A 17,549-nucleotide genomic window follows, 5' to 3' on the forward strand; every position below is an offset into this window, starting at 1 on the left:
GTCCTTTCCTCTTATGCTATGCTAGCCTATAACACTATCTGCTGGAGTCCTGGTTGGTTTTAGTACATTTCACATTACTTCACAGTTTGACCTTAGAGATAATTGTATTCACCTCTTCTATTTTCAGATGCTGGCATAAATACAAAATTCGAAGCAGGCAAGGTTTCTCATTACATTAGTTTTTATTTGTATTTTTTTGAGACTGAGTCTCGCTCTGTAGCCCAGGCTGGAGTGCAGTGGCGCGATCTTGGCCCGCTGCAGTCCCTGCCTCCTGGTTCAAGCGGTTCTCCTGCCTCAGCCTCCCAAGTAGCTGGGATTATAGGCATGCGCCACCACGCCTGGCTAATTTTTATATTTTTAGTAGAGACGGGGTTTCACCTTTTTGTCCAGGCTGGTCTTGAACTCCTGATCTCAACTGATCCATCCACCTCGGCCTCCCAAAGTGCTGGGTGGCATGAGCCACCGAGCCTGGCTCATTAAATTAGCTGAGCATCTGGAATATAACCTTTGGATCTTATCCTCAGCTTAGATTTGTTCTTCAGCAGTTTTTTTATTCTCTAGAAAAAGGCTGATATATTATTGGAGAAATCAAAATTTCTGTCATAATGTAATATAAAGAACCAAGCATGTTTTGTTGCATGCTAGAATAATTTGTTAGGTTTTTTTTTTCAGCTTATTGGGTTACTGCATCATTGACATTAAATAATGTTTGAGCTTTAATTATTATATTATTCATAACTGTCGATAGGTTCAGTTCACTGGCACCTGTTAAAATTCTCATCTAAGTGAGAAAGTTAGGGCCACTCTGGCGGGGTGTGGTGGCTCATGCCTGTAACCCCAGCACTTTGGGAGTCAGAGGCAGGAGGATTGCTTGAGCCCAGGAGTCAACATGGTGAAACCCCATCTCTACCAAAAACAAAAAAAGCAAAAATTAGCCAGGCATGGTGGTGCATACCTGTAGTCCCAGCTACTTGGGAGGCCGAGGTGGGAGGATGGCTTGAGCCCAGAGGCAGAGGTTGCAGTGAGCTGAGATCGCATCACTGCACTCCAGCCTGGCGACCAAAAAATAAAGGGCAAGGGGACATTCTGAATTTTACTAGAAGCCAATAGATGTATACACCTCATTTTTCAAATCAGCATCAATCAGTTGTTGGGTGTTTAGGTGGAACATGAAGTGCAGAGAGAACTGCCCTCATTCTTTCGTAAAATTCTTATCGCAGACCTATCACATGCAAAACAATGGGATATATGGAAATAAATGGGACATGACACCTGCCCTTGTGCTTATTATCTGTGGGCTTGCCACATAATAGCCATAATAGGTGTTCAGTAAATAATTTCTGAATACCAATCAGGCATATCTGTGGGGGTAAGGTGTATAAAATAAAGCTATGTGGAACACTGGATGAGTCAAATACATTTAAATTTGTGGAAATTTTGGCCGGGACTGGTGGCTCACACCTGTAATCCCAGCACTTGGAAGGCCTAGGTGGGCAGATCACCTGAGGTCAGAAGTTCAAGACCAGCCTGGCCAACATTGTGAAACCCCATCTCTACTAAAAATACAAAAAATTGGCCAGGCATGGGGGCGGGTGCCTGTAATCCCAGCTACTTGGGAGGCTGAGGCAGGAGAATCATTTGAACCTAGGAGGCGGAGGTTGCAGTGAGCCGAGATCACGCCATTGCACTCCAGCCTGGCCAGCAAGAGTGAAACTCCATGTCAAAAAGAAAAAAAAAAATTGTGGAAATTTTCATAGAAAAAAAGGAGTTACTTCTATGTACCAGGATAAGGGAATAATCTGTAGGACAGGGTTTCTTAACCTCAGCACATTTTTGGCCAGATAATTGTTGTAGGATGTTTAGCAGCATCTCTTTTATTCCATCTTCCAGTTGTGGTAACTGTCTCTAAACGTTGTCAGATGTCTCCTGCGGGGGCAAAAGACCCTCTGGATGAGAACCATGGCTGTAGGGGATGTCTTCTGAAGAAATGGGCACAAAGGAGGCCTACAACATAAAGAACAAAATAAGGGAAAGGGTAAATGCAGTTGCATTTATCAGGATAATTTAATTTGATGTGGCATGGGGGGTGGTGTATAAAGTGAGCTAATACAAAATGATGCTGGATACAGATCATGGATGTATTGTATACACAGTGGAAAGCTGGTTTTATTTGGGAGACAATGGGAGCTTTTACATTGTTGAGCAAAGGAGTGACGAGATCAGTCTTGCTTTTTAGAAAGATTAGTTTGGCAGTTACTTATTTGTAACCAGAATTAGACAGCAAATCGGATGCAGGGGAGAAGTCAGGTGACTATTAGTCTGCGAAGTAATTCTGGACAAGAGCAGTGGTAATGGAATTGAAAAGGATTAAAAGTGTTTACCAGGTTTTAGCAATAAATCCAATGCGAGGAAGAGGAACGTAAGATGACATTTTAAATTTGAGAGTGGTAGTACCATTAAAAACTAATGAATTTTGATTAACTAGTGCTTTAGGCCCTTTGAAATTATTTTGAATTTTGGTTCTTTCTGAACAATGCACCAGATTTCTAGACAAATACTTAAGGTGTTTTTAGACATCTATTTAGTGCCTATTATAGCATGGTGTTAGCTTCCGAAGAGACAAGAATGATGAAAATACAATCTTATCCATTAGTGGCATTGTGAGAGGTCTAGCAGTAACTTGTTCATCCTATGCCCTGATCCACCCTTTCTCATTTCCTTATTAAGCACACAATACTGAGACCAGAATAAAGCAGTGCATTTACTACCTTGTGAAGAATGTTCAGGTGTTCAGGTATGGTATCTTCATTTTGTGCTGCTATAACAGAATACAGGAGACTGGGTAATTTGTAAGGAACAGAAATGTATTTCTCACAGTTCTGGAGGATGGGAAGTCTAAGATCAAGGAGCTGGCACTTGTTGACTAGGGCTTTCTTGCTGTGTTCTCACATACAGAAGGCAAGCTAGCAGGATGCTCCCCGAAACCTCTTTTATTATGGGCCTTCATCCCAGTCCTAAGAGAATCCCTCATGGCCTAGTGATCTCTTAAAGACCCCACCTCTTGATGCTGTCACATTGGCAACACTTGAATTTGAGGGGACACATACAAGCCATAGCAAACTGAACATTTCTCCCATGCCAGATAGCACCATGTTCTTTGTCAGTAGGTGGTGGTAGAGGGGCACTGCAGGATAAAGGGGCTTCTTTCACTTCTAAGATGATACTGTGACAGTTAATTTTATGTGTCAACTTGGCGGGGCCACAGGTGCCTAGCTACTGGGTCATACTTTTTTTTTTTTTTTTTTTGAGATTTAACTTTTGCTCTGATTTTCCAATTATAAGGTCAAACATTATTCTAGGTGTTTCTGTGAGGGTGTTTTATATGAGATTGACATTTAAATCAATCAGTGAACTCTGAGTAATGCAGACTGTCCTCCTCGATGTTAGTGGGCTTGATCCAGTCAGGTGAAGGTCTGAAGAGAAAAAAAGACCGTCCTCTTCCCAGAACAAGAGAATCCTCCAACAGATACCTTTGGACTGGACCTTGCACCATCAGCTTTCCTGGGTTTCCAGCCTCCTGCCTCACACTCCAGCTTTTGGACTTGTTAGACTTAATAATAACAACACAAGCCAATCCTTTTAAGGAAGTTTGTCTGGAGAATCTTGACAAACACAAACATCTACTGAGAGTTCCTGTCCAAGTTTTGCTCACACCCTAGCAAGAGGCTTCTGGCTTACCAGTTGGGAGTGTGAGGTTCTTTGCTTGTAAGACCTGATCCACCAGCGGTACACCAGCTCTGGCCCAGGGCAAGACAGGGAATTTCCCAATCACTGAGTAGGCTGTAGCCACTCTCTCCATTAGGCCTGACTTCACCATGGGGAAGGGGAGACCCTTTCAAGGGTATTCTTTCCTGGGGTACTCTCAGTCCTAGGACATCATAGCTCTCTTTCATCCCTCTTAAAAGTTAATACCATTATCAGTTAACAGTTTTTATATTAAAATTATCCCTGTTCAAGTTAATGGTATGGTTTCTGTATCCTGACTGGATATTAGGATACAGTATTTACTGTCTTATTTCTACTACTTTATGTTTAAAGTTTTTCATAATATTTAAACTGAAGTTTTGATCATTCATTAAATATTTACACAGAACAGGACAAAGGATGATTTTCCTTTGTCTAGTTATTGTAAGGTAGCGTCCAAGATTTACCACCACATCATGATTACAGATGGTCACCAACTTATGTTTTAGGATTTTTTGACTTTATGATGGGTTTATAGGGATGCAGCCCCATTTCAAGCTGAGGAGCTCCTTAGGGCTTAGGAATCATACCTCTTTCACACCATGGTAAAGTTGGAAAATTGTTAAGTCAAGCTGTCATTAATTAGGAGACTGCTGTGTTGCTAACGTTATATGCATTTTTAACTTATGATGGGTTTATTGGGAATTAACCACAATGTAAATCGAGGACCATCTGTATATTGTATGATTTTTGCTAATGCATTGAGAGAGATCTGTGTAAATTATCTATGACTTCAGAATATGCATATTACCTCCAACTGTGTTAACTCAACGTTTTTCAAGAGAGTAAGGGTACTTTCACCCTATGTGGATGTACTGTAGAATTTTTCTAAGCTACGAAAGTCTATAAATAACAAATCAACTTAAACTTTTTGGGAAATAATTTCTACTAAAGATTCATAATCGGCGTATTCCTTCAATGACTGTACAAGTTCATCCAGTAGATAATCTCCTTGCATAAAAGTTTCAAGATCATGCAGCGTCTTGTTTATTCTGTGATCTGTGACCCGGTTCTGTGGAAAATTATATGTTCTTATTTTCTCTGATCTTCCTTTACTTCCAATCTGTATATAGAGAAAAAGATGAGATGCAGCTAGATTCAGGGCAATTTAAACCTACAAATTTAACTTATTTGGAGACTTAAGTTCTTGATTTATAACATGAATCAAATGCGAGAACCAGGTTTTAAACACTTAGAATCTCAAATGACATGGGAACATGATATAGAAAAAAGAACACGTGCTCTAAAATCAGATTAATATCTGAATCCTGCCTCAGCCACTTCAATGTTCTATGACCTCGGGCAACTTAGTTTCCCGATCTGCAAAATACAGTGTCTACTACACAGTGATGATGACAATAGAGCCTGGCACATAGATGCTATTCCTATAGTCGCTGAATACATATAATCTCTGTGAATTAATGCAGTCATCTTCCGTGGTAACAAGGTGGTGAGTTTCCCATATTGAGGAATTCTTAAAAGGCTCTGTAGTTATAAAATTAAATACCGGCCAGGCGCGGTGGCTCACACCTGTAATCCCAGCACTTTGGGAGGCTGAGGTGGGTGGAGCACCTGAGGTCAGGAGTTCGAGACCAGCCTGCCCAACATGGCAAAACCCCGTCTCTACTAAAAATACAAAAAATTAGCCGGGTGTGGTGGCAGGCGCCTATAATCCCAGCTACTCAGGAGGCTGCAGCAGGAGAATTGCTTGAACCCAGGGGGTGGAAGTCGCAGTGAGCTGAGATCGCACCACTGCACTCCAGCCTGGGTGACAAGAGCGGAACTCCATGTCAATAACAAACAACAACAACAAAAATTAAATACAGGAAGAAAAAAACAGGAAGAAAGCCAAGTTGAGTTTGCTTTCCAACTTTCTTGCGTAATTAAAATTTCAAAGGATTAAAAATGAATGAGGACTCAGTATATATCTTTATTTTTAGTAACGGATTAAAAGTCTGAGAAAAATACCTTTGAATATAGAAAACAGGGCAGAGATGTAAGATTACTATCAAAGAAGGATAGCCCTTAGACTACTTGAATTGTTTTCAACACAGGTTAAAACAAATATATAAAAACCAAGTTATTTAAAAAAAGCTGAGTTATATAAAAATATTTCTATCCTTTAAAAGCATTTTTAAAATTCTTTTTTTACCTGAATTTTTCTAGCATTCTGTCTTTTATTTATTTCTTCTTCTAGATGCATGCTGTACAGTTTTGCACGTAACTTTGTCATAGCCAGCTCTTTATTTTTCAGCTGAGATCTCTCTTGTTGACATTCAGAAACAACACCTGAATAGTGTTACGAGAATTAAAAAGTTTTAATAAAAAAATCTTCTTTACTTATTATCAAGGAATACTTTTCCTCCTCATCCTTTTTCTTCTTCCTTTATGAGGGGAAAAAACAGAGGACTCTAATAAAAAAGGGAGAGACTATAAGCTTAACTTTTGCAGAGTTTATCAGAAAACTGAAAATTTAAGTTTTGAGCAATAGCACAAATAGCACAAAGTCTTTCTTTCTTTCTTTTTTTGTCTGAGATGGAGTCTCGCTCTGTCGCCCAGGCTGGAGTGCAGTGGCGCGATCTCGGCTCACTGCAAGCTCCGCCTCCCGGGTTCACGCCATTCTCCTGCCTCAGCCTCCCGAGTAGCTGGGATTACAGGTGCCCGCCATCACGCCCGGCTAATTTTTTTTTGTATTTTTAGTAGAGACGGGGTTTCACCTTGTTAGCCAGGATGGTCTCGATCTCCTGACCTCGTGATCCGCCTGCCTTGGCCTCCCAAAGTGCTGGGATTACAGGCGTGAGCCACCGCGCCCGGCCTAGCACAAAGTATTTCTATACTGAAGGCATACATACTAAACAATAAGCATAAATCATTTAATACAGATTGTTTCCCCTCAGCTAGCCACCATGTTTTAAAAGTAACAACTACTTATAGAAACTACGATACATGAAAAATCCTATTACCAGAGAAAATCACTTAACTTTTTTAGGCTATCCATTTTTTCCCCCAATTTTTGTTTCATATTCTGTATTACCTAAGACATCATCCAGTTTAACATAAGGATATTCTCATAATTTAAAAGAACAAAATCGTTAACAATCCAGTACTGGCCTCAACCACTATTAGTTAATAGGGACTATGCCCATTTGAGATCAGTCACAGTAAGAGATTCTTGTTTCCTTTCTAGATAACTGAGATTTGCTATCCCTATGCTCTTTATCACATGTGAATCACTGTGGTGATACCTGTGAAAGACGTTTAGTTCGAGCTACAGTATACTGGAGATTTCGATATAGTCCCTTTGCCTAACTATCTAGAATCAGATCCCCTCGAAGTATGTGAATGAACTTAATGGAAAGAAGCCCCTGCAATTATATGCAAAACTGTATATGTGTTTCTGAGTAGGAGGTCCAATGCTTTCATATCATTTTTTTTTAAAGGAAGCCATGTTCCCCTCCCCTGCAAAAAGGCTCAGAACCAACAATTTAGAGCATTTTCTGATAAAGAACCCATGATAATTACTTCATTGTGAGAATTTTCTTTTTAAGTGTAAAACTCAGAACTCCACCTGAAAGGACCATCCACACCTTCTATAAATAGTAATTAATACAGACATTCCCTGAGTTTGGATCCCTCCCTCTTCCTCGCCTTGCAGTTATCCCACGGAGTATCAGGTAAGGATTCTAAGTAAATCAAATATTTAATAACAATCCTTAGAAGTATATACTTCTCTGGTAACCGAGGATCTATTTCAGTGGAAAATTAGTCATATTATTCCAAAATTGATTTCTTTGGTGTCATATATTGAAGGAATAAGTACACACCTGTTGGAAGATGAACTATCCGGACAGCACTGTCCGTGGTATTTACATGCTGCCCCCCAGCTCCACTGGCTCGCTTAGTGTCAATTCTCAAATCTTTCGGATTAATCACCAGATTAATCTATACAGAAGAAAAGTTGGGATTTTAAAAGATTACATGTATCAACTTTATAAAGGCAAGAGCGACCCATTTATGAATATACAACATGTACAGAATTCATATATTTGGGAGGTTTAATTTTAAGACTAGAGAGTAGCTAGAAGGATACCATTTTAAAACTTTTTTGCTTTTTGGAAGAGTAGGGAATCGAAATAGTACAGGACTGTACAGTTTTGAAAAACAAATCCTTTCTAGTCCTCAAAAACCTGGCTTCCCTTTATCCATTTCTTACCACAGAAACAGCAGAACTTGATACTATTCTGCCTACTTTTAGAACTGAATGTTTAAGGTTTTTTCAAATTTTTCTGAGTTTAAAGAGCCTAGCAGCAGGAAAAAAAAATGGTAGCGTGAGAACTGTGGGAAGGGTCTGTTTTGTTTTATTTCAAACATATTTGGAGGCAAAGATGAGCCAAATGGAAATGGGAGTGGCCAAGAAGTCATGAGTCTCAATTCCTCAACACACTGGGATCTGAGGTCAAGGTAATGCTTTGTCCTAGGAGCCACCATCAAAAGCACTGTTTCATGAACAACTAAGAACCATTCTGTGACATCTCTGCAATGCTGACAGTAAGAATCCTACCATTCTCTGGGCCTTCTACCTCTATGTCTCCCTGTGTTGACTCCCTCTTATGGTTGCTAGAGGAATTAGATGATACATGGACCTCAGTCTCTCATCTTTTCCTGAAAACTTCCACCCCAAGATGGTTAAACATAAGTGACTAGGTTTCTAGATGTGGCTCTTGCCATTTATTCTACTTTACTCTCTCCCTTAACTGCTTAGTTTCTCACCTATGCTTCACACAAAAATTAGATCTAAAGAAACTAAGACCTAAAGAAAGGAACTCCATTAAACCTATTACAGAGCCAAATAGCACTTTTTCCCAAAATTAGCATAGGAACCACTAAGAGTTCCTTCTCAAAGCATTCACACTTCATTCTGAAAAACAAGTCAGATATCTGCTATCACTTTTCAGTAGAAGGGAAATGAGGCAAAACAGAACTCCTACACTAAGTTATCTTAAAAATATAGACTGAGAATTTGCTTTGTGAGAATAAAGTATACTCATTATGAACAGTATAACAATATACTTTCATTTTAATGTAACTGGGTTATGAAGCAGCAATTCTGTTAAGTAATTACCTTTGTTAAATAGGATTGTTGCTGTTAATACCCCACAAACCAGTCACACAAGGCAGAAGTCATTATAAAGGCAACCAGTCCATATTTAAATAGGTTATTATTTCACCCACAGAGATGATCTCACAATAACTACTTATTAGGAAAATACTAATACACAGACAATGCAACATTGTATCATTTACAAATCCTTAATTTTTTAGCATTATAAAATTATATTTTTTAGACTGAGATAATATGCAACTCAAAATACACAAGGAAGACCAAATAGATACTCAATTCAGTAAACTCTGAATGTTAACTCTGGGGACAAGGCACTGTGCTAGGCCCGGGATTCCAAGGAGAGGGGCTTATGCCTTACCTCAGTAGGCTGGGGTAATATTGCTACAGTCATGGTGCTAGTATGGACGCGGCCTTGCTTTTCTGTCTTTGGCACTCTTTGTACTCTGTGAACACCTCCTTCAAATTTCATGTGCCTATAGGCTTCTGAACCCCCAATGCTGGCAGATGCATGTCTAAGGCCACCTTGAAAATACAGGGAAATAGAATTATTTTTATTATTCCTGCCATTTATAAATAATTGACCATCACATCTACTATCTTGAGGTATATTTTTAAAGTCATAAAAGGAGATGAACATGGAGACTGTAAAACATATTAAAATATTCAATGTTTTAATATTTATCTTTACTGCTTACAAGTACTAAACAAAGCATTTATGGGGCTAATCAGTTGACATCAGTAACACATCTAAGACTACTTTTAAAGACTGTTAGCAATTTGATGGTTAGTATTATTGAAAGACTCTCCATTAGATTTTATAGGTCATCTCAAAATTACTGTATGTGCATTCAAATTTATTAGGTAAATGATGAGCATAAAACTACATAAGCATCCTCACAGATAAGTTCTAAAGCCTAGTCATGGTCTTTCCAACTCTTTTCCTAAACACTTTACCTGAAACAAAATGAATAGTTTACTGACCTAGTTCACTTGGAAAATATTCCAGGGTTTCAAAATGCCATCTTTTAAATGCAGCATATTGCTGATACATATCAAATATCTCTGATGTAAACAACATTGCCTCCTGACCTCCAACTCCTGCAGTTACTTCCAGGATCAAATCATTTTCATCTGTTTCTTCTGAGGGAACCAAAAGTAAGATAATCTGTAAATATAAAAATATCACCCCTCCTATAATTAAGATTTAAAATTTATCAAAAAATAAAAAGCTAAATGATTCAGGAATTTTAAATATTTAAGTTTCGCCAAGCAAATAATGTAATATTGCTGAGTACTGTTCAACCACCTTGCCAATTAGAACTGTATAATGTGTAACTTCCATAAAGTATTAATGTTACAACCATATTATAAATGCTGTTAAGATTCAGCTAAAATTTCAGGCTTGTTTTATTGTCTGTTGGAGTTCTTGTATGCTTTGTATCAGTTCTCTCTTCAGTTAATAAGAACTAAGTACTTGCTCTGATTCGGAGATTATACTGTTGTGGAAAGCAAAAGAAGATTCTAGATCCATCCTCTTGAAAATTAAGGCCTAGTATGGCAGAAAACCAAAAGCACTCAAAACTACATTTGTATTATTTTAAGATTTCTTATTATGGAAGAGAAACTTGTAATTTTGAAACTAAAAAGGCCCTTAGAGATTATCTGGTCCAATTCTTTAATTATACATGTAAAGGAAACAGAGCTTAACAGAGATTAAATGACTTGTTTAAGGGCAAAGTGTTAGTTACTGGCCAAGCAGGCACAAGAACACAAACCTTTGTGCCTAGATCAGTCTTCCCTCCATTACAATAGTGTGTTTCTAATCAAGGGGATCTAGAACAAACACTTCTTAGATTAGGTCAATTAATAAGAAAAGCTACCAACATTTTATTGGTTCTTTAATATATGGCAGGCATTCTAAGCACTGTACATACTGTAATTCTTAAAACAATCTTGGGTAAGTATTATTAACAGTTCTACCTTAAGATGTGAAACTAATTTTACAGGGGTTGAATAATCTAGTGGCTCAACATTACCCAACTCAAAAGTTAAGTGGAAGAGCTAGAATTGAACCTGAATATACCTGAGTACACTGCTATCACACTTGACATTGGTCAGAAGCTATGCTAGTTACTACTTTTCCATCTCTCTAGCCTATGCCAATACAACATTATCATTCAAATTTTGAACAAATAATGGATTTTACTTCTGTTTGTTGATTACTAGACACTGAACAGAAACATTTAATACACATATCCTTCTTATTCACACAAAATTTAATTTAGAAAATGGGTAAAATGCGAGCTATACTACACTTTTCACCTTATAGTGGAATTCTCCCCCTCTAACATAGGTTATAGGAACATTAATTTTTAGTAATTTTCACATTTGCCTAAAGGGGAAGCAGATTCTCAAAAATAAGTACCCCCTTTCCTGGCTCCTTCCTTACCTAACATATTCTTTCACTTATCCCCAACGGTAATTGCTGTCAACCTTTAGTCTCTGCTTTACAGAATTAGCAAAGAGTGGCTCTAATTTCATATAATTATTCTTCATTAACTCTATATGTTCTGTAATTCACAAAGATGTACAACCAAAGCAATGTAATCCAATTCTTAAAATCGTGAGGGCTTACTCTAGGTCTGGTATTCCAAATAGTGTCAGAGATGCAAAATAAGTATTCCTGGCCCTGAGGAGCTCACAGTCTACTATCACTCTAACAGGGGACTTCAAGAAGTTGTATTTCAAAGTTATTTTGTAACAAAATAAACTCGTGCTAACTTGTTATAACAAGTCACAGGCTCTAGTTTGAGGTACTAAAAAGGGTATCAGTTTGCAAAGAGCCCCATCAGAGCAATATGAACTCTGTTAAATTGAAGCAAGAACAAACATTAAATTGCTGGTGAAGCTTGGGTGGAAGAATGGTGAAATCATTGATGCTTTATGAAAAGTTTATGGGGATGATGCCCTGAAGAAATCAGCAGTTTACAAATGGATAACTCATTTTAAGTAGAGACAAGATGATGTTGAAGAAGAAGTCCACAGTGGCAGACCATCTGCATCAATTTGTGAGGAAAAAAATTATCTTATTCATGCCCTAATTGAAGAAGACTGATGATTAACAGAAGAAACAATAGTCAAACCACAGACATCTCAACTGGTTCAGCTTATAAAATTCTGACAAAAAAATTAAAGGTGAGCAAACTTTCCACTGGATGGGTGCCAGAACCTTTGCATGCAGATCAGCTGGAGGCAAGAGCAGAGCTTTCAATAGAAATTTTAAACAAATTGGATCAAGATCCTAAAGCATTTCTTTGAATTATAACCAGAAGTGAAACATGGCTTTACCAGTATGATCCTGGAGACAAAGTACAATCAAAACAATGGCCACCAAGAGGTGGAAGGGGTCGAGTCAAAGCAAAAGCAGACTGGCTAGGGGCAAAAGTCATGGCAATAGTCTTTTTGGGGATTCTCAAGGCACCTTGCTTATTGACATTCTAGGGGCCAAAGAACAGTATCTGCTTACTATGAGGGTTTTGAGAAAGCCAGAGTTTTAGCAAAATACCAGGGACAGCTTCACCAGAGTCCTCTCCTACACCAGTGCTCCTGCTCATTCCTCTCATCAAACAGGCAATTTTGAGAGCTTCAATGGGAAATCCATAGGCACTCATGTTACAGTCCTTATTTGGCTCCTCCTTTTTTTTGTTTCCTGATCTTAAAAACTTTGTAAAGGGTACCCATTGTTCTTTAGTTAATAATATAAAAAAGACTACATTGACATGGTTAAATTCCCAGGACCCTCAGTTCTTTAGGGATGCATTAAATGCTGGTATATCACCTTTTTGCTTACCAAAGTGTCTTGAACTTGATAGCTGGTGGCACTTATGTCAATAAATTAAAGTTTATATATATATTTTTTTATCTTTTAATTCCAGTTTTCCACAAACTTTTGAAGTCCTTTCATATAACCTCTTCTGCCCCATGTCTACCTCCAGTCTTCTTAAAAAAAAAAAAAAAAAAAAAGGGAAGATATGCCACTATTTCGCTGCCTTTCCAGAAAATACTATCACTGTGACATTTATCTTTCTGTGAGAGCGCTACAGTACTTTTAGTATGATGAAAACAGGACCATGTGAAGTTTGTTCTTTAAAAACCAGTTTATTGATAGTCATAATCATTTCAAAATGTATGCATATATCAAAACATCACATCATATACCTTAAATATATGCAATTTTGGGGGTCAATTTATACCTCAATAAATCTAGAAAATAAATTTAAAAAACCCAGTTTATTCTAAACAGTAACAAGCTAGTCACTTGTTTTTATAAACCTTTAATAAACTTTAATGCCTAAGAATAGCACAAATGCTTTATTCTTTGCAGAAATACCATACCTGATGCTTCAGCTGAGTTATTTCTTTTTGACACAAAGTGATTTCATTCTCTGCAAGTTTCCTTAAATCTTCATTCTCATCTAGGAAAAAAAGGGCAGAAGTTAAGGTTTTCCTTAATTAGTGTTAAATTGCTAGCAGACTTCTAGGAAATAGTTTTATGGTTATTATAGCTGAAGGGAAAAATAAAATGTATATCTTGTCCTTTCAATAAATACCATTCAATAAATGCCTTTCAATAAATGTCCTTTCAATCAATTTCACCATTTTATACATTAGTTTTCATAAGCATGTAAGTATAAAATTTTTTTTCTGATAAAGTACAAGTACAAATTTCTATAAAAATATAAAGAAGCTAAACTCTTCCATAATTTCATCTCCATGAAATATTCACCTTAATAAATATGCTTTTAGACTTCCAACTTAGACTGTATAATAACGAATGCATTTAGCTAATAAGACAGAAGGGATACAGAAGGTTACACCAGTAAAACTAAAATTCAATTAAAAAGTAGAAATTTATTCTCTTATAAGCAAATGTTTCATTAGTATTTTAGTATCCACCCAAAAACATTTATTAGATTCTGCCTAATGTATACAGAATGTTTATACGAAGTACTCCTCTGTCTCTCTCTCTGGCTTTACCTTTATTGTTGTTTCATCTTTGAATTTTCATTTTTACCTTATAAAACATACTTTCTCATTCCTCTACCCTATAGATGATATGCAGCATATATAAAGGAGGAGGAAAGGGAAAATTTCTGGCTATTAACAAATTGTTCTCTCTATTGAAAGTTCAAACCCTTACAAAGCATCAGTTTGTATGCTTATCTATTAAGAAACAACCATGCTGGGAAGTGGGATAATACATATATAAGACCTGCCCTCAAGAGAGCATTATAGATAATTTTAGTTTCCTTATATTTTTCTAGAAGAGAAAAACAAAAAATAACCTAAACCCTTATGTGACATGGTTTGGCTGTGTCCCCACCCAAATCTCATTTTGATTTGTAGCTCCCACAATTCCCACCTGTTGTGGGAGGGACCCAGTGAGAGGTAACTGAATCATGGGGGCAGATATTTCCTGTGCTGTTCTCATGATAGTGAATAAGTCTTACAAGATCTGATGGTTTTATAAAGAAGAGTTCCCCTGCACAAGTTATCTCTCTTGTCTGCTGCCATGTAAGACGTGCCTTTTGCCTTCCACCATGATTGGGAGGCCTCCCCAGCCACGTGGAACTGTTAGTCTATTAAACCTCTTTTTCTTAAAAATTACCCTGTCTTGGGTATGTCTTTATCAGCAGTGTGAAAACAGACTAATACACTATGTGATTAAATATTAAAACAGTTGTGCCTTGAAGGAATCTGTTGGTTTTGGAATGGGCAGAAAAAGGAAAAAAAGATTAACTCAAGGAGAGAGAATAACAACAGCAAAACTGAGATAAGCAAGTACAGGAAGCACTGCTGAAAATTATTTTGGCAAGCATATGGTATGGAAGAAATTTGGTAGAATGGAAAATGTGTTAGGAAAAGCAAAAATGAATTCTAGCCCTAGCTTAATCGCTAAGGTACTGTTAGGGCAATAGGCTCAACTTCTTTCAGTTATGACAAGAATGAAATGAAAGTTCTGAGCTGGATAATCTCTAAGGTGCCTTTCAGTTCTGCAAAGCTAAGGAGATTGGAACTAGAGTCTAGAAGTAATTTAATTTTAATACTATATTTTATTTAACCCAATATGCTCCAAATATTATTTCAACATGTAATTAACATAAACATATTACTTTTTATACCAGGTGTTTGAAATCTATATGTATTTTACACTTACACACCTCAATTCAGACTAGCCACAAATTGCTCAACAGCTGTGTGGCTACTGGCTACTATATTGGACAGTGCAGCTCTAAAGGGTTTAGAATTAGGAGTTACTCACAGGCAATGGTAATATACTACTTCTTTAATTTCTCTTGAATATTATAAATCAACATATGTTTACTGGACACCTACCATGTGCCTGCCTTCCCCTTTGCCTATAAAGATGTTTATGGTTTCCCATTCTAAATGGGTCCTTTTCTTTTCAACCCTTTAAGTAGCTGCTTATTGTCACCCCTCTTTTCCCACCCAGATTTCTGGAGATAAAATGCCATTTTTATAACTTTTCTCCTGTTAACTCTAATTTACCTCTCAAGCTGTTACACTGGATTCTATAATCATATCAAGACCATTTTTATTCAAGTTACCAATGACAAAATTGCCAAATCTAAAGACTTATTTCAGTGTGAGCTGAAAAGGTTGTTTTACCTTTCTATGTCAGGTACTACGGATTTTTTTTTTTTTTTTTTTTTTTTGAGGCAGGGTCTTGCGCTGTCACCCAGGCTGGAATGCAGTGGCACCATCTTGGCTCACTGCAACCTCCACCTCCCGGGTTCAAGCGATTCTCCCACCTCAGCCTCTCAAGTAGCTGGGACCACAGGCACGCACCACCATGCCCAGCTAATTTTGCATTGTTTGTAGAGACAGGGTTTTGCCATGTTACCCAGGCTGGTCTCGAACTCCTGGGCTCAAGTGATCGGCCCACCTGAGCCTCTCAAAGTGCTGGAATTAGAGGCGTGAGCCACCACGCCTGGCCAAGGATCTCTTACTTCTTGAAATTTTCTATTGGCTTCTACAGCTTCATTTATTTATCTACTTCAGGGTCACAAAGCTCTGGCTGTTTTTTTCTTGACCTTTTATAGCCTTCTTCTCTGCCTGCTCCTCAAATACTGTGTATTTCTGGCCTTGTTAGACTTGTTTCTATCTTAACACATTTTCCCTGAGTGTTCTCATCTACTTCTAAGGTTTAATTTACCACGTACTGTATATCTCGAGAGCTCTCATATGATTATTTGGGCTCAATTTTTCTCCTATGTCAGTAATTTTTTCTCCTAGACTAGTACAGATATCTTTATTGGAATTCCTTTTCACAGGTATTTTTAACTTAATATGGCATTCAATGCAAAACTCATCTTTTTAAAAAATTCGGTCCAACTTTTATACTTTCATCTTAATTAACAGTACCACTCGTGCTGAAGCCAGAAACCTAAGACTTTTCTTAGAACTAACTCTCTCCCTCATCCTTCTCAGGGCATAAGCCACTAAATCCTAACTTGTTTCTCAAAATGTTTTGTGAGTCAGAACTATGCCTATCACCATTTCTTCTTTGGATTGTTTCAACTGCCTCCTCCCTGGCCTGTCAGCCACCAGCGTTTCTGGAGAATACTCCAATTTATCCTCAGCGCATGCCACCATTAACTTTTCTTTACAAAGACGTGAATTCTCTGCTTAAAAACATTTGCTAACTTTCCATGGTCTATAAAAAATAAATCCAAATTCTTTGTCTTGCAAGGTTCTTAACTATTTTTCTGGCTTCATGTTTCTATGACATCATCTCCCACCTATTCTATACTTAGGCCATACTGAATTTCCCAATTTAGTACCTTTACCCACGTATAGGTCTGAGATTCTGAGTCCTAAGTCTGCTATTAACAAGCACTGCCCTGATACTACTGCAAATGGGTCTCCACACCACACTTTGAGAAACACCGCTGTGGAGCCCATCACAGGGACAGTGCCTTATTTATCCTTGCTGAGCTAATGAGCTCTTGCCCGAGTCCACAACTAATAAGCATGTAAAAGGCGGCAGAGCGCCGTGGCAAAGGAGCACAAGAGAGCCCACAGGAGAGGATGGGATCACAGCACGTAATGATGTCCTGACCTCTGATCCAAAATAAAAACGGCTGCAAGTGAGTAAAGAGTTTCAAACTCGGGTAGTGTGGGCAGTGGAAAAGTCAAACGAAGAGTCAAGAATGTGCTCTGACGCCTCTCCCCCGGGCCCGACCCTTACCGTGCAGCAAGTGCTCAGTCTCCCGCAGCTCCCGCTCCTTCTCGTTCAGCAGTTTGATCACCGCCAGCAACTCGGGCCTCCTGACCTTCAAATGGGCTTCAGACCCCGCCTGGCGCTCGAGGAAGGTCCGCAAGGGCCCGCCCCGGGTGAACAGCTCCTCCAGCGGCGGGCTACCGGAGCTCAGGGGCCGGCGGGCTGGGCCAACGGCCCGGCGGGGCCAGAGCCACCGGGCAGCGCCCCACAGAACCCGGGACCGCATCCTTAGTCCGAGATCGCGGACCCTGACCGGAACCGGAAGTTCCGGACACAGCAGCCCTCGCGACAACACCCAGAATTTGGAGATAAGGGTGA

The 17,549-nt window shown here is 38.5% G+C and overlaps 1 protein-coding gene across 10 annotated transcripts, besides 2 other annotated features; it reads right to left on the reverse strand.

The window, feature by feature from the left end:
- Positions 1 to 2,133: 2,133 nt before the first annotated feature.
- On the reverse strand, positions 2,134 to 17,481 carry MTRF1L (mitochondrial translation release factor 1 like). 10 transcript variants are annotated; one of them, NM_001301871.2, is made up of 7 exons: positions 17,199 to 17,481; positions 13,322 to 13,401; positions 9,908 to 10,066; positions 9,285 to 9,448; positions 7,629 to 7,746; positions 5,957 to 6,093; positions 2,134 to 4,867 (listed from the first exon to the last, which is right to left on the reverse strand). In NM_001301871.2, exons 3-7 carry the CDS (start codon positions 10,002 to 10,004, stop codon positions 4,667 to 4,669), a joined length of 717 nt encoding a protein of 238 aa, NP_001288800.1. In that variant the 5' UTR covers positions 10,005 to 10,066; positions 13,322 to 13,401; positions 17,199 to 17,481; the 3' UTR covers positions 2,134 to 4,666. The 10 variants fall into 10 exon arrangements, 9 of the variants coding, with proteins under 9 accessions (NP_001288800.1, NP_001288799.1, NP_061914.3 ...); NM_001301870.2 differs by having other exon boundaries at positions 10,016 to 10,091; NM_019041.7 differs by having other exon boundaries at positions 9,908 to 10,091.
- Positions 17,229 to 17,288: a silencer, noted in NCBI's record as "silent region_17693". NCBI's record gives its function as "represses an Ori minimal core promoter by ATAC-STARR-seq in GM12878 lymphoblastoid cells {active_cell/tissue: GM12878}" and the evidence as "EXISTENCE:reporter gene assay evidence [ECO:0000049][PMID:35858748]".
- Positions 17,299 to 17,408: a silencer, noted in NCBI's record as "silent region_17694". NCBI's record gives its function as "represses an Ori minimal core promoter by ATAC-STARR-seq in GM12878 lymphoblastoid cells {active_cell/tissue: GM12878}" and the evidence as "EXISTENCE:reporter gene assay evidence [ECO:0000049][PMID:35858748]".

Source organism: Homo sapiens, chromosome 6 (assembly GCF_000001405.40).
Source record: "Homo sapiens chromosome 6, GRCh38.p14 Primary Assembly".
NCBI classification, from domain to species: domain Eukaryota; kingdom Metazoa; phylum Chordata; class Mammalia; order Primates; family Hominidae; genus Homo; species Homo sapiens.